This window comes from Homo sapiens, chromosome 2 (genome assembly GCF_000001405.40).
Source record: "Homo sapiens chromosome 2, GRCh38.p14 Primary Assembly".
Taxonomy (NCBI): Eukaryota; Metazoa; Chordata; class Mammalia; order Primates; family Hominidae; genus Homo; species Homo sapiens.
In genome coordinates, this window is record NC_000002.12 from 177,533,552 (window position 1) to 177,553,785 (window position 20,234).

At 37.9% G+C, this 20,234-nt stretch overlaps 2 protein-coding genes across 4 annotated transcripts in view, besides 3 other annotated features; one reads left to right on the top strand and one right to left on the bottom strand.

Annotated features, from left to right (window-relative positions):
* AGPS (alkylglycerone phosphate synthase) overlaps positions 1-10,283 on the top strand; it is a 151,062-nt gene extending 140,779 nt beyond the window's left edge. For all 3 annotated transcript variants that reach the window (NM_003659.4, XM_011512041.3, XM_047446104.1), the window contains exon 20: positions 4,523-10,283. In NM_003659.4, coding sequence (NP_003650.1) covers positions 4,523-4,644 — 122 coding nt within the window. In that variant the 3' untranslated portion in view covers positions 4,645-10,283. The remainder of the gene's footprint in view (positions 1-4,522) is intronic.
* Positions 15,447-19,245, bottom strand: IFT70B (intraflagellar transport 70B). The gene has a single exon (NM_152517.3). The coding sequence runs from the start codon at positions 19,210-19,212 to the stop codon at positions 17,215-17,217; it is 1,998 nt and encodes a 665-aa protein (NP_689730.2). The 5' UTR covers positions 19,213-19,245; the 3' UTR covers positions 15,447-17,214.
* Positions 18,245-19,049: an enhancer, noted in NCBI's record as "H3K27ac-H3K4me1 hESC enhancer chr2:178416524-178417328 (GRCh37/hg19 assembly coordinates)". NCBI's record gives its function as "activates a minimal SCP1, AML or CMV promoter by ChIP-STARR-seq in naive H9 embryonic stem cells {active_cell/tissue: H9 hESC(naive)}" and the evidence as "EXISTENCE:reporter gene assay evidence [ECO:0000049][PMID:30033119]".
* Positions 19,050-19,853: an enhancer, noted in NCBI's record as "H3K27ac-H3K4me1 hESC enhancer chr2:178417329-178418132 (GRCh37/hg19 assembly coordinates)". NCBI's record gives its function as "activates a minimal SCP1, AML or CMV promoter by ChIP-STARR-seq in primed H9 embryonic stem cells {active_cell/tissue: H9 hESC(primed)}" and the evidence as "EXISTENCE:reporter gene assay evidence [ECO:0000049][PMID:30033119]".
* Positions 19,222-19,511: an enhancer, noted in NCBI's record as "active region_16797". NCBI's record gives its function as "activates an Ori minimal core promoter by ATAC-STARR-seq in GM12878 lymphoblastoid cells {active_cell/tissue: GM12878}" and the evidence as "EXISTENCE:reporter gene assay evidence [ECO:0000049][PMID:35858748]".

A 20,234-nucleotide genomic window follows, 5' to 3' on the forward strand; every position in this document is an offset into this window, starting at 1 on the left:
GCTTTGGATCTCTAAAGAGAACTTTTTCTCTTTGACAATTTTATGTCTATAACTTAAAAATAATATGTTTGTTAATCTGAGAATGCCTGTATTACATTATTACATTGTTACAGAATACTTTTATAGTTAGTTTCATGTGATTAGCAAACAGTTAATCCTGGGAAGAGGTTGGTTGTCCCCTCTAACACTACTTTCTTACATAATCCAGCAGTAGTTTGGTCAGATTAAATTAAATCTTGAAATACAAAGTCAATGCTCAGATCACTCGTATAAGCAGCTAAGTCTGGGTTTTCTTCTTAAAATCTGACCTATAGAATAGTGCTAAAGAGATATCCAGGATACTCAAACTAGAACTTTCAAAATATAGTTGTTATAATGGTTAGATGCTTTTTGCTTTGGCTGAAGTCTACTTCTGAGCTTCACCTTCAATGATCTTCTAAATGTATGGCCCATTTCATAATTTGTTCTTTTTAATAAGTCTATAATCTTTTTGACTTATAATCAAATGTGTGATTCAAAAAATTAAAATTTAGCTAGAGACCTCTGTGACCAGCAGACGCTGGATTTATCCCTTTTAGATTAGGACTGTTTGGTAGTTTCTGCTAAATCTTCAATCCGTTAAGCCTCAAAGAGTAGTTTCAGATAATTTTTGGTGGCCAGATTGGCCTCCATGTCCACATTTTCCATGTACATCATTTTATCTCTTATACCTTGCGTACATGTCTGTTCATTCATTTATGCTGTTGATCATACCACAACTTCTTTCTTGCATTCTTTCTTGAATCTCTTAGCATCCAGGGGAATAGTGAGCCTGTAATTTGAAAAACTGTACTTGAAAGTTTTCATATTCTCTGTTCCAAAAGTAAAGTTTTAAAAATGTACTATGTGTTGTGGAAGAATACACACAACTTGTTTGATCCAGTCTCTATATACATTATTAGAAATTAAATTGTAAAACAGTGAACTCCATTTTTAATTTAAGCACAGCCCCCCACCCCCCGCCCCATTAGTTTTCTTTCTTTTCTTTTCTTTTTTGTTTCTTTTTTTTTTGTGAGCTATGGAGTCTCGCTCTGTCACCTGGGCTAGAATGCAGTGGCATGATCTGGACTCACTGCAGCCTCAAACTTCTGAGCTCAAGTTCTCCTTCCGCCCAATCTCCTGAGTAGCTGAGACTGCAGATGCGTGCCGCCACATCCAGCTTATTTTTTATTTTTTTATTTTTATTTTTTTAGAAATGGGGTCTCACTATGTTACCCAGGCTGGTCTTGAACTCCTGGGCTTAAATGATCTTCCCACCTCAGCCTCCCAAAATGTTGGGATTACAAGCATGAGTCACTGTGCCTGGCCTAGTTTTCTGTAATATTCAGTATTTGGCCCATCTTTTTTATGTCTTATAAAATACATCTAAATACTTAAGTACTTAAGGAATCATATATTTAGAATAATAGAGAATTATGGAATGCAAGGTACTTATCTTGTTTTCAGAGATGGTGATCTTGGCTTTTTGTAGCTCTAGTGTTGACTCTCAGGCTAGATTTATACTTCTAGAGCATCAGAAGTCAAAGGAATATGTTGGGTCAGTAGCTATGAATATCCCACATCAGATGATTCAGGTCTAAAAAAGAAGAATAGGCTTTATGTGGTATGTGTACACATGCCTTTCAGTAGATAACTATCACATACAAGGTAAATTGAAATAGTTTTAGGCCACCTGTTATTTGCTGTCTTCAGTAATTCATTTTCCCTTCCTTTAATATGGTGTGCTACATAAGGGACAGAGTATAATTTCTTCCCTTTCTGAAAATGAGCTTTACAGGTGTTTAATAAGGAACTGCTATATAGTTGTATACCCATGTGTGTTAACATGGGTACAGATCAGTATGGTCAGCTAATTTCTGAATGCCCAGCAGTACAACTAAGAATTGTACAAAGGGCATTATTAGTGGTGGTGTTTAGCTCTGGAATAAAAATCTTGTACTTTGAAGTGTGTTTCTTCTCCAAGATTAAGGCCTGTGGTGTTTGTTGTTTTATTGATCCATGTGGGGTAACTACATAAGGTTCTCCAGAATCTCAAGAAGACTCCAATAATTGTCTTGTTGTTAAGGCATATTGAACGTTTTTGTTTGAATGTGTTTTCTACCTGTATATGTATCCTGTGAAGTAGTTGACTTAAATTGTTAAACAAAGCCAAAGATTTCTAGTACCTTTAATTGCATAAACCAAGATTTCTGACCCCATTTCAAATTCTGTTATCAGTGGCAGAAGAAGTGCCAGACCTCTGCCACGAAGGGGTTAAATGCTTTTATCAAATGTGTTTATGAGGGGCCACAGCTTTGTTGGCCGTACTGCCCTTTTTTTTTTTCTACTTTCTACTTCACTAATCAAATGTATATTAGATTGATTATTGTAAAAGTATAAACCATAGAAAATTTGACAAGATAGATGTGTAAATTATCCTTCTGACAGAAGTAATGATGCACTCCAAGCACCTTCTGTTTTCCAGCGCTTGGTGAGTGACTTCATTAAATATGCAATGGCTGTTGGGTGGCTTCTCAGACGATGGTTCAGTTCCTTGTGGAATTGCATTATTACTAGAGGTGTAAAACCAGGCAGACAAGCTAGCTGTTGGGCATCCTGCTGAGGTTCTAATGTGCTCCATCTTGTTGGAGCAGTTGTTTGCAGTCTTTTCAGGACAATTACATCCATAACCACAGGATACATTCAGTGAAACTGTATTACAGATAACAGTGGAGACTGGTATTCACTGCTCGTCACCCCTCTCTCTCTTCAGCTGCCTCAGTGTGGGCAGCTTATAGTAGTATGGTAAAGCCCCTTTTACCATTCACAGAGTAGTTGTTTAAAAAAAAAAAAATCCTGTGGAGCAAATCTGGAAAAAACTGATTTTTAACTTTTTTAAAAAGTGCTTAAAATCATAGAATATTAGAGTTGAAGAGACCTTATAAAGTCTAATCCATTTGCAAGTGAAAAAACAGGCTGAATCATAGTCATGGGCAGTCCCTTAGGAGATAATAGAAGGTCCTGGTAGAATATCTTTTAGGTGGTAGAGATTGCAGGAATAGGGATTTATTTACTCTTAGCTTCTGGTTTTAGAGCTATCTCAAACAAAATTTTTCATTTTGAATTTAAGGTTTTTTTTCTGCTGAACTTCATTTCCCCCCGTCTTAATACCAGCAATACCTTTTTATTTCTGAAAGCCAAGCAGATAATTTGCTTTCTGAGATTATCACAGTATTTATTATTTTGATGACAATTTGATGGTTTCTTAGAGAACTGGACACAAAAGATGGTTTTAGTTGAGCTCGAAATGGTATTTAAGGTTTCCAAAAGGCAGATGCTATGATGTATCACTATAGCCTAATAAATGGGAATGCATTATAGAATGACAGGCTGAATACTTTAATGAAAGAAGGTTTCCCATTTCAGTTGGTCAATTAAATCACTGTTGATGACTTTGGATCATTAATGAACATTTGTAGAAAATGACCGTTTGAATTCAATTAGTATGATAATAGGTTTTTTGGAGAAGTACAAGTACAAATAATCCTAACTGTAAATTAAAAGATTTATCCATTTTGCCACAGATAAGTTAGCATATTGCTTGCTTTTTAATACCAGAGCAAACTGACATTTCAGAATTCTTTTACAGATTAAGTACATATTCTTTCTTACAAAAGTTCTACTTACAAAAGGTTATGTTTTTCATTGAGTACCTTTTGAAATATAATTTATGCTGCTAACCATTATGTTACTTCACTATTCTCAGAACAAATTAGCAAGACCTAGAAACAAAAAAAGGGAACTTTGTACAGTATGTAAAAGCAAAAGATTAAGTTTACGATGGATTAGGTATTTGATTTATTTAATGCCTTAGGAAAAAAATTCTAAATCTGGAAAAACAGTAGGAAGAAAGTAACCATTATTTGGGAACATGCAAATTTATTTAAAAGTACTGTGAAAAGAAAATGTAAATAGAAGCTTAATAGCCAGAATTTTTTCTTGAGCCTATTAAAGTTTCAAATTTTCTTATTATTTGAAGCCTTTATGTTCGTTAAAATATTTTAAGGATATATATCCTGTCATTTTTGCTGAATTTACCCAACAAATTCGTCTCAATGTGATGTTTTTCTTTAGTTAACTTCATTTTCTCTAAAACTTGGGTGTGTTTTGGTAGTTAAGGCAGAGGTGGGTTCTTTCGAAATGCACGTTTTTCTCATTTTGTTATTTGTAAAATGGGCTATAATCTCTGTCCAAGCTTCCTTCAATCTCCATTTCATAGTTTACAGAGAAAGGAGACACTGTGGAGCACAGACTTCCCCTGGGAATACATTGGGCTTAATGAGCTTGATAGTCTGGTGGGCTCAATAAATCAAATAAAGCAAAACATTTCTCATTTTTGAATAAAAGCATTTATCACACAGTGTTTGTTCACTCATGGTCACAAGATTGATTGGTTCCCAGTATCATAGCATATATTGAAGCATTTTTGATTTTGTTTTTCCAGTGGGCAAGTTACGGAAGCAATGGCTAAAGGAAAGTATCTCTGATGTCGGCTTTGGGATGCTGAAGTCTGTCAAGGAATATGTGGACCCCAATAACATCTTTGGAAACAGAAACCTTTTATAAATCCATTAGTACCATTACAAAAAAATGTCAATTTTTTTTTTAAGTTTTCAACTGTGGTTATACTAGTAATCAAATATATCATGGACTATATTTTGGATACATTTGTTTCTTTGGTTTAAAATAAGTTTGTTTTCATTCTGTAGTTTGTTTTGTTTCTACATCTATGGATTGACAGATAGTATTCCTAAATCTCTCTCATTGTAGGTACATCATTTTACATTCAGCGGTTGTCATTTCAAATTTTAGTCAGGCAGCACAAAGCTGTCAATTATTCCAGAGGAAGCTGCTGCCAGCTGTTTTGTATTGTTGCTTCCTCTTGGGGAACAAAGACAGATTTGGTATCATTGATTGCTCAGCTAGCCTCTTTTTAAAAGAACGTTTCTGGGAATCAGATGTCTAGGGAAGGATTCCACTGAGGAGTGATACACGTGTACATTGTTTAAGAGCATAGTCTAGTGTGAGTAGGCCATTAAGGGGAAGGATATTCATGAAAGAATTTAGGCAACCTGTTATTTAGAAAGCCTTCACGTCTGTAAGGTGCTTGGCCTACTTTTTTTTTTAAATTAGTATACATGCATAAAACCTTGTATCATCAATATACAAATTATTCTGTTAGGGGACATGTTTTTGTTCTCCATGTTTCTGTTTCTATTGTGGTATGAGTTGTATTTGTATCACTGAGATAACCTATTGTTATATTCTAATTCATTGATAATATGTTTTGTAAGAAAAGCTGACATCCTTCATTGCAAGTGAAGAACAGGTTTACCATGAAATGAATGCCTTTATTCAACTTAGAGTCCTAATGTTTCTGATTTCACATTCTTGTTGCTGAAATGCAGAAGAAACAGCTACAGCAAGAGCAGAAGGAAAACTCTTAGACTTAATGTCTCCAATTGCAAGAATTGTTTCACTAAAGAAACAGTCATCATTCAACTACTGAATTTGAAAGCCTCAGCAGTTTCAATGACAAAAATCATTTTTGATTTTTTAAAATTAATCCCAATGGCATGATAAATTTTCATATAAAAAGTAAAGTTTCAATTTAGTTTTTAATAATGGTTTAATGCCTTTTTTGAATAACTGGTTTAACCTAATTTTTTTTAAATGTAATGTATTAATGCATATACCATAATCAAAAGTTTGAAATATCCTGTTTCTTAAATAATGAGAACATTAATCACATTTAGCAAGCATTTGTACATTCAAACCTGGATATTAAAGTGAAATGATTACTTTGAATCACTGTCTGCCAAGGTTCATGATTCACATTTTGAGATGGATTCTTTTCTTAATGCAATACCTAACTTTTGATAATTTTTTAAAACTAATATTTGATCAGATAATGTAAGTCAAAATGCAGACGATCCTTTAAAAGGATGCATTGTCTGTGTATGTAGCAACAGCTCCAAAGTATTTTTGGGCAGTTTGATACCTTTTATATCTGAAGTAGCCTTAACCAGAAAAATGGTAATTTAAAATTGACAAAATGATATTTTTAAGACTTCAAAATGATAAATAATTTTTAACTATTAAAATTGGCCTCAAACTAATAAATCTGTAATTAAATTAGAATTAAATATCAGTTTAACAACAAAATGAAATATTTATTTTTTAGAAGCTGCCTCTCTTCATTGGTCATTTATTTTTAATTATAAAATTTCCAACAGATCTTTGCTTTAAGCCCTTGATATTTGACCTAGTTGGACACTTGATGAGGAAGTTGCCTCTAGAATTATAAAAATCTCAGCTTTATAAAATGCATCTGTTCACGAAGGTAATTTCTTTAATTGGTGATCAAAATATAAAATTAAGGTACTAATGTCTCACTGGAAGTATATATATATATATATATATATGTATGCATGTGTGTGTGTGTATATATATATATATATATATGTATATGTTTCTGAGTAATTTTTAAAAAATAAAACAGGTTAATAAGAAGATCCATTCCTTTGCATGTGATTGTTATAACATTCTTTCCCAGGGAGTTCAATTTCAGCAACCTCAGAAATCCATACTTGATATTAGGAAACTGTAAATGTAACACCTGAAATTATTATGTTCACTATTCTACATGAACCTTATGGAAATTCATGATTTATGTCTTTGTTTTTCTTTTTCCAAGTATATGCAGGACTCCCCAACCTTGATTTTATAATGGTGACTGCATTTTGTAGGTGGAATCATTTCTACCGAAATCATTTTGAAACACAAGAATATTGATCAGTACTGTTTCACTCTGATTTAGTAAATCAGAAAGCCTCCCCCTACCCCCAGCCCCCACTTTCACATACCTTCTGGGAGGTGCCTCAGTATAGACTTGGTATCTGTGAAGGACTGAGTTCATGAATATGCACAGAAGCACTTAAACCATGCCTCTTATTTCTATAATATCTGAAAATGGCTTCATAAAAGTTAAGTCAGGAGAACACTGTTTACATGACACTTCTTAACTCATTTTTAATGTTTATTTTTAATTTCAAAAACTTGTTGCCTATTTGGTTTTCAGTACTGCATAACACTGACTTTCTTAAATTAGTCATAGTTGCAATAATTTACTTAAATTTGGTAATGTCACATTTGGGTTGGGGTTTCAGTGGGAATAGTAACTTGCCGCTAGTGAGAAATGGCATTGAATACTAAAGACTCAATATGAACAGGCTTTATAGACCCTTAGAGAAACTGTTGCCTTAATGTTTGGTGCAATTTCTAGTAGTGCATAAGTGAATTTAGTCTTATGATAAGTAACTTTGAGCTGTTTTTAGCTTAGTAAGAATTGTGGAAACCACATGTTTATTGTGCCCATCATTTTACACAAAGAAAAGAGGATTATATTATTTCTTCTAAGGAAGTAGGAGTTTTCTTCCTAAAAGTGCTTACATATTGTAGTACTATTACTTAAAAGTTATTTATGAAGTTGGGAGCCTTCTAGTTTGCCTGTGTTGATGTATTTTGAAAACAAAATTGCAATAAAGGATGAGCTTCCATCGGTGTGTATGGTATACCAGATACAGATGGTTGCAAGGAAACCTTTTCCCCCACTAGAATAGTCTATTAGTAACTGCTAAGTCCTAGCTTGCATTTTTGAAAATGCCTTTCTGCATGTTAGCACCCAGACTTTCCTTTGTCATATTCCTTTATAGCTACAACTTAACTGTAGCTTATCAGAGAAGCTCTGTAGTCCTACACTGAAGTGTGTTCCCTTGGCTGTTCATATGGGGCTGGGTTTGGTTGAACTTCCATTCTGTATAAATGCTAGAACACAGTTACTACAGATTGATTCACAAACTGCATGTGCTGGTGCTTGAGGCAGCCAAAATGGAATGCTGTGGAAAGCATATCTATATCTTAAAAAACACTCAGACAGGAGTTAAGGACAGCTTTAATAATTTTTTTGTTTACCACTTAATCTTTATCAACTTTGATTTTAGTTAGGGCTTAGCTCATGGTTGAAGAAAAGTGGAAAATAACAAGTGCCCATTTAGGTTTGAAGAATCCAGAATGTTTTACCTTTGACTTTATGAGTTATAGAAGCTTGGCTTTGCTCTAGGCTTCATGTTCCCAAATGAGCCATCTGTCAGTATATTCACTTAATTCTTACTAATTTCAGTTTCCTGTAAAGGAAACAACTTACATATTGATGCTTAAATCCAGAAAGTGTAAAAGGTTTTCTTAAACTGTTAAAATATAGTGTCTGATATAAAGGATGTAAGTTACTCAGCTTTCTGCTCCCTAAGCCAAACAGTGTTTGTCTTCAGTGTGAAATTTAACTGTAAAAACTACTTGTAATGTCAAGAGATTATAGATCATATTATTAATAAAATGGACCTGGGTCTAATATTTTTTTTCTTCAAAGGGAGTGTGAAGCTGTTTATTCTTTTATTTGCATATGAGTTTTTCTTTTAGTTTTAGTTTTTCATGTTCATATTTCCACTGATTTGAAAACACAAAATTTATTTTTATAATTTTGTTGCTTGTAGCATAATCAAGTGCAAAATCAAGTGCAACCTACTTGTGACTAAATCTCTTTGGATTTATAGCTGAGGATATTGTTAGCTAGGTTTTGTCAATCCCTAATCATTTTTTAAAATCAATGCTGTATTCCCAGGAGGCTTTGAGACTCCTATGAACCTGAAGCACTCCCTTTTGAACCTTGGAAGATCCTCAAAGAGTGAGCACTCTTGTGCTCTTCTAATCATAATTAATTCCTTAACAAATCAGAGTAAGGACCACTGACATATAGAACCCTCAAGCCAAAGAACCATCACAGAATTTAGTAACTTTAGTTCTGTGAACATGAAAAGATTTCTTTTTTGGTTTCCAAAGGAGATTATTTATTTTTCCACAAGGAAAAACATCTTGCAGAGACTCTGAATTCCAAATCTGAGTGAGAAAGAAAAGGAAAAAAATCTGTTTCATGGTGGATTTCTAAGCAACATATATACATGTTTTTAAGACAACCTTTTGTTGGCAGTGTTTTTCCTGAACACCATATGCACCCTAGGAAACATGTTTTTCCTTTAATCTTGTTCACATATCAGAAAAGGACATGAAATGCTCATACTGGCATACAAGTTTCTATAAGTAGTTATTTTTTGAGCTACTTATACTATATCCCCAAAAGCTCACAGTGCCTTGTTGGGATTTTTTTTTTCCATGAACTAGCCATTATTTTAAATGAGTGGGAGAGGGTAAGTCTTTAGACAGAGGTCATTCAGCAGTTCAAGACTATTCCTCTTCAAGAACATGTCAGGAATTAAGCAGTTATATGTGGAAACACTGGTAATTCTTTCCACAGTGTTGTTTTGGATAATCTGTTCTAGTATATTTAACTAATTGTATGGTGGACCTGTACTCTGATACACATCGAATCAGTCAATGGGATTTGTATGTGCTTTTCCTTCCTACATTTTCATTCCTACTGCCCCAACCTAGTAGCCCTAAGTTGTGGCTTGGTGGGTTTGGCATTGAGCCTCAAGACACTCACTACATTCTTTCTGGATGTTTGCTCACAGGCTCCCTGAGGAGCAGAACCTGTGGAGCTGGGGAGTGCGGGTGGTTTCTATTCCTAATATTGTGTGTCAGTCCTTTTTCGTGTGATGGTGCCTTCAGAATAACGAATATTTCTGTTCTGGACAATGATTAAATCTTATGAGAAATATATGTAGGTTATATTAATTCTTGTCCATTTTTGCTAAGCCTGTGAAATACTTTGGCTCTGATACAACTTAACTTGAATAATATCTTATCCTGAGTCTTCCTCCAAGGCAGTACATATTCCTGCCAGGACTGTAGTAATCCTTTGGGAACTACATGTGAGTAAGCACTTGTATGTAAGCCATTATACTGCTGTAACTAATGCATACAAACAATTCTTCTCTTTACATTTATAGTCTAAAAGGGGATATGCAGTGGGAAGGAAAATTCCTGAGAGATTCCAGCATAGCTTTGTCAATTCCGACTGAGCCATACTGTTTTCCACAAGGGCTCAACACATAGTCAGTATTCCGTGCTTTCAGTGTGTGTTCAGATTCTCCTCTTACTGGTTTTCTTAGACTGTATTGTTCTATAAGCAAATGCCCATGTGTGATTTTTAAGATGTGCTGGGGAAAAATAAATCAATACCACAACCACCCATTGTTATAGAAATTGTTGTTTATTTCATATTGGTTCTATTTAACCTTTATTGACAGCATGCTATACTCGGCCAAAACAAACAGGATACACTTTGTGCCCATGAGTACCCTCTCCGGTAGTGAAGGGCATGTGCAGATACTGATTTTATAATGGTGATTTTATATGCAGATATATGCAGATTTTAATGCAGATACTGATTTTATAACATCCCTGCCTGTGGCTCCCACACTGAAAGGAAGGTTGTAGCTGTCTGGGCTCTGAAATGACTGAAGGTCAGACCTGTTGAACTCTGTCTTACATGATACATTTCAGTAATCACTAGCCACACTAAGATTTTAGCTCTTGTATTATATAGTTAAGAAAAGCAATTTTCTACCTGGCTTATGTAAGTTCAGATTGAATTAACCCTAGAAATCATCCCATCTTATTTCTATTTCATCCCATCTGAACATAATTGCTACCTAACATTCCCCAGGCTACAAGCAGATAACTAGTCTTCCTGAACATTTGCTGTGAACAAATGCATATTCATTGCCTTTCCAGGAAGCCTTTTCCAACTTCTGTAATCTTCAAGTATTAGGAGGTTTTTAAATTATTATTAGACTGAAATCTGTGTTCCTCTTCTATCCCTTATACAACTTCTGCCACCTTTAGTCATAAAGAATTGTCCAATTGCTCTGTTGAAGGGCTGCTCTTGAGGTATTTAAAGTCAGGTCTCATGTTCCTCAACACCTTCTCCTATCAACTTTTGCTCCTGTCATTTCTAGACTTTCACCTTCCTAATCTTCCTCACATGTGCCCATTTTACATTTTTACAGTGAGGTGTCTAGGCCTGAAAACAAATCTTCCAGAGTAGTACCAATGCTTCCTCTAGTGTAGTCACTAATAAAAAAGCATTTTTGGTGGGCATTGCTCTGTCAACTCATACTGAATATATGCCATTTACCAAAGATTGTCTTTTCCATGTGACATTTTGGCCGCATCTCCTTGGAGGCTAATTTTTTTAAAGCCCCATTACTTATATTTAGCTTTACTAAAATTTGTATCTTACTGGAGTTAGTTCCATATTTTCAAAATGTTAGGATCTAGATTCTTGCCCAGAATATTTTCTGTGCCGTCAAGCTTCAGGTCATCAGTAAAATTGAGACAAATACTGTCTGGATTTTCATCCAAGTAATGACAGATAATTGGTACATTACAAGGGCCTACCTGACCCATGATTCTGACATTTCATCCATGAAAGAACATTCAGGATTCAGACATCTACACTTTCACTTGACATACAGTTGTCCAACTTATATTTTTACATTTTGGCCACAAATACGCTTTTTATTCAGTTAATCAGCATTTATGTCAGATAAACAAGTAATCATGTTTACTTAACATTTTCTGCTGCCACAGTGAAATCCTGATAAAGCTACTACTACAGTTTCCTGTGCTACCCTATAAGAAAAAGAAATGAAACTTTCCGGCCATCACATTTCCTTTTGCCTATGTTTGGCCTCAGGGGCGTGTCTCTCTTTTTGAAAGACTCAAATCCATTTTCTACTGCATTTTCTGATGTGGTCTGTTGATTGGGCCTGGTATTGCCTGATGGACAAGCTCTGAAATCCACCCTTGCATAGTTTTGCCATGTCCTTTGTACCTCATTGTGCTAACATTAGATAGATGAAGCTGCTCTTCTTTGAAAATGGCAGAATTTTACCACTGTAAAGTAACTTAGAAGATAGGATTCTAAATACAAGAAGCAGTGGATAAGGTTCTATTTTGGACATTTTGGGTGTGATTCATTTTTCTCAATGAACTTCAAGTCACTTTCCCTATTCATTTCTTCTTTTATATAGTGAAAAACTCTGAGGTCCCTTTCAACTCTGTCTCAGTGATTCTAATGAGTCTGTGTTTTTTTGCTGAACACTACCCTAGAATTGATTATTATATAATTAATTTTTTAATTCATCCTTTTTTGCCAGACAGGCAAGAAGGTAGCATTGTTATCACAACAACCCTGTGAAGTAAGTGGTATCATCCCCTTTTTACTGGTGAAAAAAACTGAAGTTTGGTTAGGTTAAGAAGCACCCACCATTAGTAGCTGGGAAGTGGCATTGCAGGGCTGTGGAGCCAGGTGACTAACTCCAGTACCTGTGTGCTGGCTGCTTCACTGCTGTAGGCTACTTGTGCTGGATGACTATGATGTACACAGAATGTATTTTTAAAGTAGATTATTAGTTGTTGTCCTCTACAGAAGGGCACAAGTGTTGGGGTGATCAGACCCAACACCAGGTCATCGGGGTGATGAAGTCCAGTAGAATCAAAGGAATGAGAAAAGACAGTTTGAGAGATAAAGTGGGTCTGGGGGCCAACGCGAGTATGGCGGCTGCAAAGGCCCCGAGCTCTGGAAGCCCAGACTGTTTATTGGTGATCAAACAAAGAAACAGATGGTGAGAATGTGGGGTTGAAAGGGAGCGTTGCATTAAGCACATGATTTACAGCTGTGACGGTTTAACATTTATATGGCCAATTCTAAGACACAATTGATCTAGGAGCCTGGGAGGGCTAGAAGCAAGGAGCCAGCAAGTCTAGACACATTCCAGAGGCCATGAGGGATTTTATGCCCTGAGCCCTGGATTCTTTCCAATCTACGAGGGGTTTTATGCCCTGGGCTTAGATGATGGTGCGTCAGGGTAGTCTTCCACCCTTTAGCACAGAATTCAGTGTTCCAAAGGCCACGAGGGGTTTTAGACCCTGGCCCCCGGACATGTTCCAGGACTCTTTTTACATTATGTCAGAAATGCAAACCCTGCCTCAGCTTCTCCCAACACTCAGCTTTTCCCAACAACAAGTAAGAAGATGGAGTCTCTTTCTCCTACAGAGTAGAAGCTGCTCTCTTTGTGACCACATGCCATAGAATGCCAGAAAGGTTTTTTCTCAGATATTGTCTTGCTGTGTAAATGTTTAACCCACAGTATCCTGCACTGATTTTGTGGGTTTAATGTGAAACTCATAAAAGGAAATATCTGATGGAGTTAATAAATTTGCATTTTTATAACTTTAATATAGTACTATTTGAGCTGCACTTAAAAATATAAGACAATCTTTTTCTATAAGTTATACATCTTCCATTGGGAGACTGGAAATTGAAAGAACTGTTTGAGATTAAAGAAATGTTTTATTATAACCTAGAGACAATCTAGGACCTTAGGAAAGTCACAATTCCTTAAAAGTACTAATTTAAGGATTCAGGTTGCTGCTGTAGGGTTTGAGCTACATTAGGGTACTCAAAAAGTATATATAACTGGAATGAAAGTATCAGTTTAGAATCTGATGGTTACAGTCATGGTGATTATGTAGTTGGACAACCAAAACCCAAGAGTTACTGGCTCATGACAAAATGTGGTTTGACTGAATACAAAGGGCATAGCCCAAAAACTGAAAACTACTGAAAACCCACATGTCACTTTAGTCCCAGAGGTAGGTCAACAAGGGATAAGAGGCATTTAGTGAATGGTGCAGAATGAGCTGCAAGTCACACTAATACCAGGAAACTACTCTGTGGCAGAGAACACTCTCAGAAACACAACCTCTAGGTCTTTCCAGATCACCCAGAGTCATTAAGAAAAAGAAGAAAGGGAACCTGAAACATAAAAATTATATTTGAAAATCCTGATACTCACTTGTGAAGTCTTTCTTTAGTGATGTTATCCTTTTAAAGTTAGGTTGTTTAGGTAGTCTCACTCTGCTTAACTGTAGTCAGACTTCCAACACTGCTAACCCTCCAGGACACCAGGGAGAAAATGAGCCCAGATGAGGATTACAGGGCAGAGGGGTCAGAAAGTTACTTCTAAAGCTTCCCCTCCAAGCCATTTACCCTTTCTAATTTCACATTTCCTAATAAGTATATTTATTTGGGCATCTATCCCATAGCCCTCTCTAAACAAATCATTCTGACCTTGGGCCAAACCTATCACTGTGATTCTGTATGGATTCCATCTGAGGTGCTCCTCTAAGCCTGTGAGGCCATACACCCCTCAGGTTAGGAGTGTCCCTCCTATGATGACAGCTATCCCATTGCCAGATGACCCACCTTCATCCCCACACAGTCATCCCAGTTCCCAATTGTCTGCTTCTCATGAATGGGTCAGAGTTAGCCACCACACCTGACCTTCACAGATGGTATTGGGGCAAACATCCATTCTGCAGCTGAGGCCACATTCAAAGGGGGACTGTCGTGAGGAATAAAAATCCTTTGACAGGCATGTCATGCCACCCATCAAAGGAGTCTGTGCTTGCTGGTTCTGCACAGAGAGATCAAGTTCTTGTTCCTGAGAAAACAAATATAACTACTTGTGTATAAGCACACATTCCTATTTTGTGTGTGCCTGTGTGGAGACCAAGGGGTTGACTTAAGATGAAATACTCGATATTTGATTCCTTTAAAATAGACTATGCAGGTATTATGAAGAAATCTTAAAATATTCCTTATATTTCCATAATGAACTCATTGTTGTCAAGAAAAGTGCTTTTAGCGCTTTATGTACTCTAGGAGCACAGAATAAAGCTTTCATTTGAGTTTTAGGTACAGAAGCTTTCACTCAAATGGCAAAATATGGGGTCATTGTGAAGTCATTTTCTTTTTAGAATCAAGAAGCAAAGCAGGGTACTTTGAATGTGAGTTTTAAAGATATATATCCTGAAAATAAGGACAACAAGTGCCAGGGGAGTTAGGAATGCCCTGTCTTCCCAGGCCTCAGCACCAGACTTCTTGACTCTGTGTGGTTCATAAGACTTTGTTGTTGCCAGCAGCAATCTGAATCTGGGTGGGTTCCTCTCTGAGAGCCAGGGTAAGGAAGGGGACAAATGGCATGGTTCACCTTTATTTCTTAGTGGTGTGAGCAGTCAGGATTTCCTTATACATTACTAAGCAGGAAATCCCAAATGCCCAGCAGCAAGGGGTTAAAAACCATTCTGAAAAGCTTTTTATGTTCTGAAAAGTTAAATTACACATACATGAAAACCACAAACACATAGCACCTGGGTAAATAAATTGTGGCCAAATAAAGACCAGGCTATTTGCAAAAGGGAATCTGGAAAACATTTGTTTTTGGGTGGTTAACATTAGTTACACTTTATGCTTTTTTTTCCCCCTAAAGAAAATAGTGTGGTTTAGAAGAAACAGGAAAAAAAAAAAGAATTTTAATATGGCCATTGAAAACAAGATTTCAGTTCATTTACTTTCCAAATCTTAAGGGGCTACCAAGACTGACAGGGGCACAAAGCTACTGCAGCAACACTTTTAGTACAGAAGTTGTCAAACAAAGAACATTTCCCAGACATTGAATGTGCTATGGGATGCAGTGAAGAGGTCACTAAACATTGCTTGTCCTCCACATGTGAGACTAAAGCATCAGTGGTAAATGATAGCAGCTCAGATAATTAAGATTTAAAATGCCATAAATTCAAAACCATTGAACTTCACAATAAGCCAAATTTCCTGGTATAATACAATTTGAGCACTCAGGAGGTCATGCTACAGAGGAATTATGCTGAGCATGTTTCTTATCAGTACTTATGTGGCTAAGTGGTTCCTTTTCCTTGAAGGAAAAAATCATCTCATTATGGCAGAGGTTCCCTATCATTCAGAAGAAAGCTACTAGGTTGAGCTATGAGAAACTGCTAGTTTTGTACATCAAAAACTGTCAAAATCAACAACTGCATATGATTCAGTCTAATACACTTGATTTTTCTAAGCCAGGTCAAGTTAGGATTGACAGTTACTTTTTGTGGGAAGAGAGGAGTGAGGAGTGGGAAATCAAATAGTAAGGCTCTTGTAAGGTTCAGAAAATAAAATGCCTGATCAGAATGCATGTGGTTCCCAGTGGGAACTCCAAATAACTCTTGGGAGTTGCGGACATGAAATGAACATTACAACTTAGAATTGACCTTTTTGGTCAGACCTGGTGGCTGAGATTTTTCCTTATTCAAGAGGCTACAACATGGAAACACTGTACAGCCAGCATATCCTAAATTGCAAACACAAAGGTAGGAATTAAGAACTGAGAACTGGACCCAGTGATTTGTGCCAGTAGTCCCAGCTACTTGGGAAGCTGAAGTGGGAGTATGCTTAAGCCTAGGAGCTGGATACTAGCCTGGGCAACAAACATAACAAAACCTGTGTCTCTTAAACAAACCCCTGAGTTCTCAGGATAGCTCTGTTATTTCTCACAGAGATATTTAAAAAGTTATCATGGAAAATAGTAACAGTGTATCTTGTTCATATATTTAAATTATTAAAGGGAACAAAAGAAAACCAGGGAAATTTGTTCTTTGATAATCGTTCATTGTCTCTACATTATAGCACCATAATTTTGTTAAGGCAACAAAATTTTTTACTGACTTTTGCACGTTAAAACCACTTATAACCTAAGGAATTTTGGTTAGGTAAAGAATTATATCCATATGAATAAACACTGCCAAAATATCCTAAAGTCTATATAAAAAGTATGCATTACAAATTAATGAGTGTAAATTGTGAGACTACTCTCACACAATCCCTGAAATGATTATTTAAAGACTACTCTTAACTATTACTGAGATAGTGCTTGGTCCCTGAATGATGTAATCCTTGTGCAAAGACCCCTCAAGATACGTCAAAGCACAAAAGATAACAGAGGAAAGGAAACAAACGTATTACAACTTCTGATATAAACATTCCTCATAAGTTTGGAATTTTTCATAACTCCTGGGGTAAAAGTTCTTAGAATATGTCACTTTCTGGGAAATTTAACAGCAAAAGTTTTAGCTACTTTTTTTTTTATAATGCATAAGTGTACAAAGTTCAACATGTAACAAATATAAAGATGCCAAAGGGTAAATAAAGCGATGCAAATTTACATAACAAAGCCATTTGATAAATGCCACTATCAGCTATTACTATATATTCCATCCTATAATCTCATAAATCAAAGCTTTTAACTGCCTAGACTCATATGTGACTGTATTCTTTCCAACATGCATTCTTTCTTCTTCCAGGGGTTGTTCAATAACAGCAGGTATGTTTCTGCCATGAAGTTCACAGTGTTCTAGAAACTGGACACATTCTTGAATAACACTATCACGAAGCATGATTGTGTGTTTTGACATGTTTTCTAACAAGGACAGGAAGCATCTTTTGGCATAATACCAGGTGTCTGTTCCCAGCTTTTTGTTGTAAGGTTCCAAGCTTTTGATAACTCGAGAAATACCAAAGTCATAATTTCCTTTGGCACAATAAAGAGTTCCTATCACCAAATTCACAATGCAGAGATGGTACATTTTCTTATCTGGGTCATCATAAGAGAGCTGCTCTTCCTCCTTTTCAATCTTCCTCATCAACTCCTCTGCTTCTTCATTTTGACTTGTCATAATATAGGAAACACAGAGATTAGCCAGTACAATAGCACTGACATTCAGGATGTTATCATAATGCTTCTTGACTATGGGTTCATAGAAACCAATGGCTTCTTTGTATTTGTTTTCCTGCATGAACAGAACATGAGCCACATTCAACTTCCACACATCATGGTCGTTACAGAATTCCACAGATTTGCGGAAGATCTTTTCCACCATTGGATAATTTTCAAGATTCCAGTAGATTTTTGCCTGAGCCATCAACACAGGAATGTATTTCTCCATGGTTTCATCATATTCATTCACTGCCTTTTTGATAGCTTCATCATCTCTATTGTGTCTTGCTTCCTGTACTTGTATGGTAAGTTTCCGGAGGACCTCAGTCAGCATCCCTGCTAGCCCATCAAGCTTAATGAAAGCCTCTTCAGGAGCTGTCTGGCAAGTGATCACAGCGTCCAAGAAGTCATAGAGATAGGGTGTGAGGAACTTATAAATCAAATGGGCATTTTCTGCCAGGACATCTGCTGCCAGGTCAAAATACTCATATTTACAGTAGAGCAGCAACAGGTTGCCAAAAGTCTCTGGAGGAAAGGGATTCTGTTGGAGCAAAAACTGTAGCTTTTCAAACCCTTCTGTAGGCCTGGCATCCATGTTCATTAGTGCCTGGTTGTGTAGGGTCACAGGGTCCAACTCTTCCTCTGCCCTGGGTGGCATGTCAGTGAGGGCTTCTTGAGCTGCCTCATAGTTTCTCAGTTGGTATTCTATAGCTGCCTTAAGGTTGAAGGCTTCCACCAGAGCAGTCTGATGGAGGACTAAGGTGTTGCCAACACTGCGAACATCAATGCCCTCAGTGGTCATGCCCACACCTAGCTCAGGGTGCTGGCGGATGCCACGCTCAATAATCTCAGCGATATGCTTCAGTGCTGAAGCATACTGTCGGCTGCTGTAATAGGCCAAAGCCAGGTTGTAGGAAAGGTCAGGCTGGTAGCCCGAGGCCTGCAGGGCGGCAAAAAACTTGGAGCATGCAGCTTCATACTGTCCCTCCTTGTAGAGCAAACAACCCAGGTTGATCTGGCCATCGGTCTCATTCTCGCCCCCACTTTCCTCTCCCCCTTCCCTACTCGGCAGCTGCTCTACCAGGCTCCTGGACCCTGGCAGATCGCCCTCGCTGTACTTGATAGCAGCTTGCAGGCGGAGGACCCGGCTGTGGTAGGCGGGGTTATCCAGGAGAAGGAAGGCGACCCGGGTGGCCTCCGCATAAAGGCAGGCCTTGTACAGGGCCTGGGCCTGGTACAGGCGGTACTGCTCCAGTTCCGGGTGCAGCTGGCCCAGCTGCTCATAGCACTCGGCCGCCAGCGCGAACTCCTGCAGGCGGTAGTAGCAGTAGCCTAGCAGCGACAGGCCGGCGCGGCTCCTAGGGCTCCGCTGCAGTTCTCCGCCCAGCAGCTGCACCGCCTCGGCGTAGCGTGCATTGCGGATGAGGCGGTACACGACCGCGGTGAACTCCCCGTCGGGGATCTGCGCGCCGCTCAGGCCAGCCATAACCACCACGGCTGTTATGGGTGCGGTTACTATGGCAACAGAGCAACCGGAAGCGGAAGACTGCCGGTTTCCTTGTCGCAAGAAATCTGTTAGGAACAAAAAGGGACCACTCTCGTCAGTCTCTCAATTTCAGCTTGATCTTCAAATACTCTGGACTGCGGAGTGGCGGCATTCAGGAGGGGAAAGACTACTCCGGGCCGTTCAGAGACTGAATCTACTCGTCCCGGCATGCACCGTTCCAGTGGTTCCGCGGCGCGGGTCGTAGCCGCGCTGCATGCTGGGAGACGTAGTCCCGGCTGTACCTACCGAACCGGCGGCCCGTGGGGGTGCAGGGTAACTCTCCTTCCCTGCCTCTTAAAGATGAGGGGCGCTCACTGTGTCTGTTATGGCACCGTGGTCTCTGGCGCGGCGGAGGAAGGTTTCCGGCCCCATGTTCCTGGCGATTTTGAGCCTGGTACACGGTGTGGTCGATAATAATGCTGGCTTTTGGTTTAGTTTCAGTAAAAGAACCGGGATGGCAAAAGGCGAGTTATCTCTTGGAATTACCCTGGAATTAGAGCACGTTCTTTTTTGCACTACCCCGAGGGCACAGTTTGTAAGAACGGAATAGAGCGGCGAGCAGGAATCCTTAATTTGGTGGTTTCCAGAGGTTAATGAGGAAAAAGGACTGTGAATCTTGATTGGTACTGGGAGAGTTTCGGTTTTAGGTCCAAGTATCTCCCGCTCTTTTTTCCCGTAACAACAAATATTACTGAGTATATATTGGCGTTTACCCTTGGCCATCCCCATTGCGCTGGAGTTCCAACTTTCACTACTAGGTAGAAACGTTGGAGAAATGCATGACTTCAGTTTTTTCCAAGAGGGGAAAATCCAAGACATTAAAATGTGCTCCTTTCCCTATGCATTTTTACTCTTCTCTCTTAACTACTAAATTAGTCAGCCAGTGATGTGTGGGTGTGTGAGAGACACACATGCTCAGTTTGTACTTTTCAGCCTTCTAGGGATTTTGGATATTGAACTGA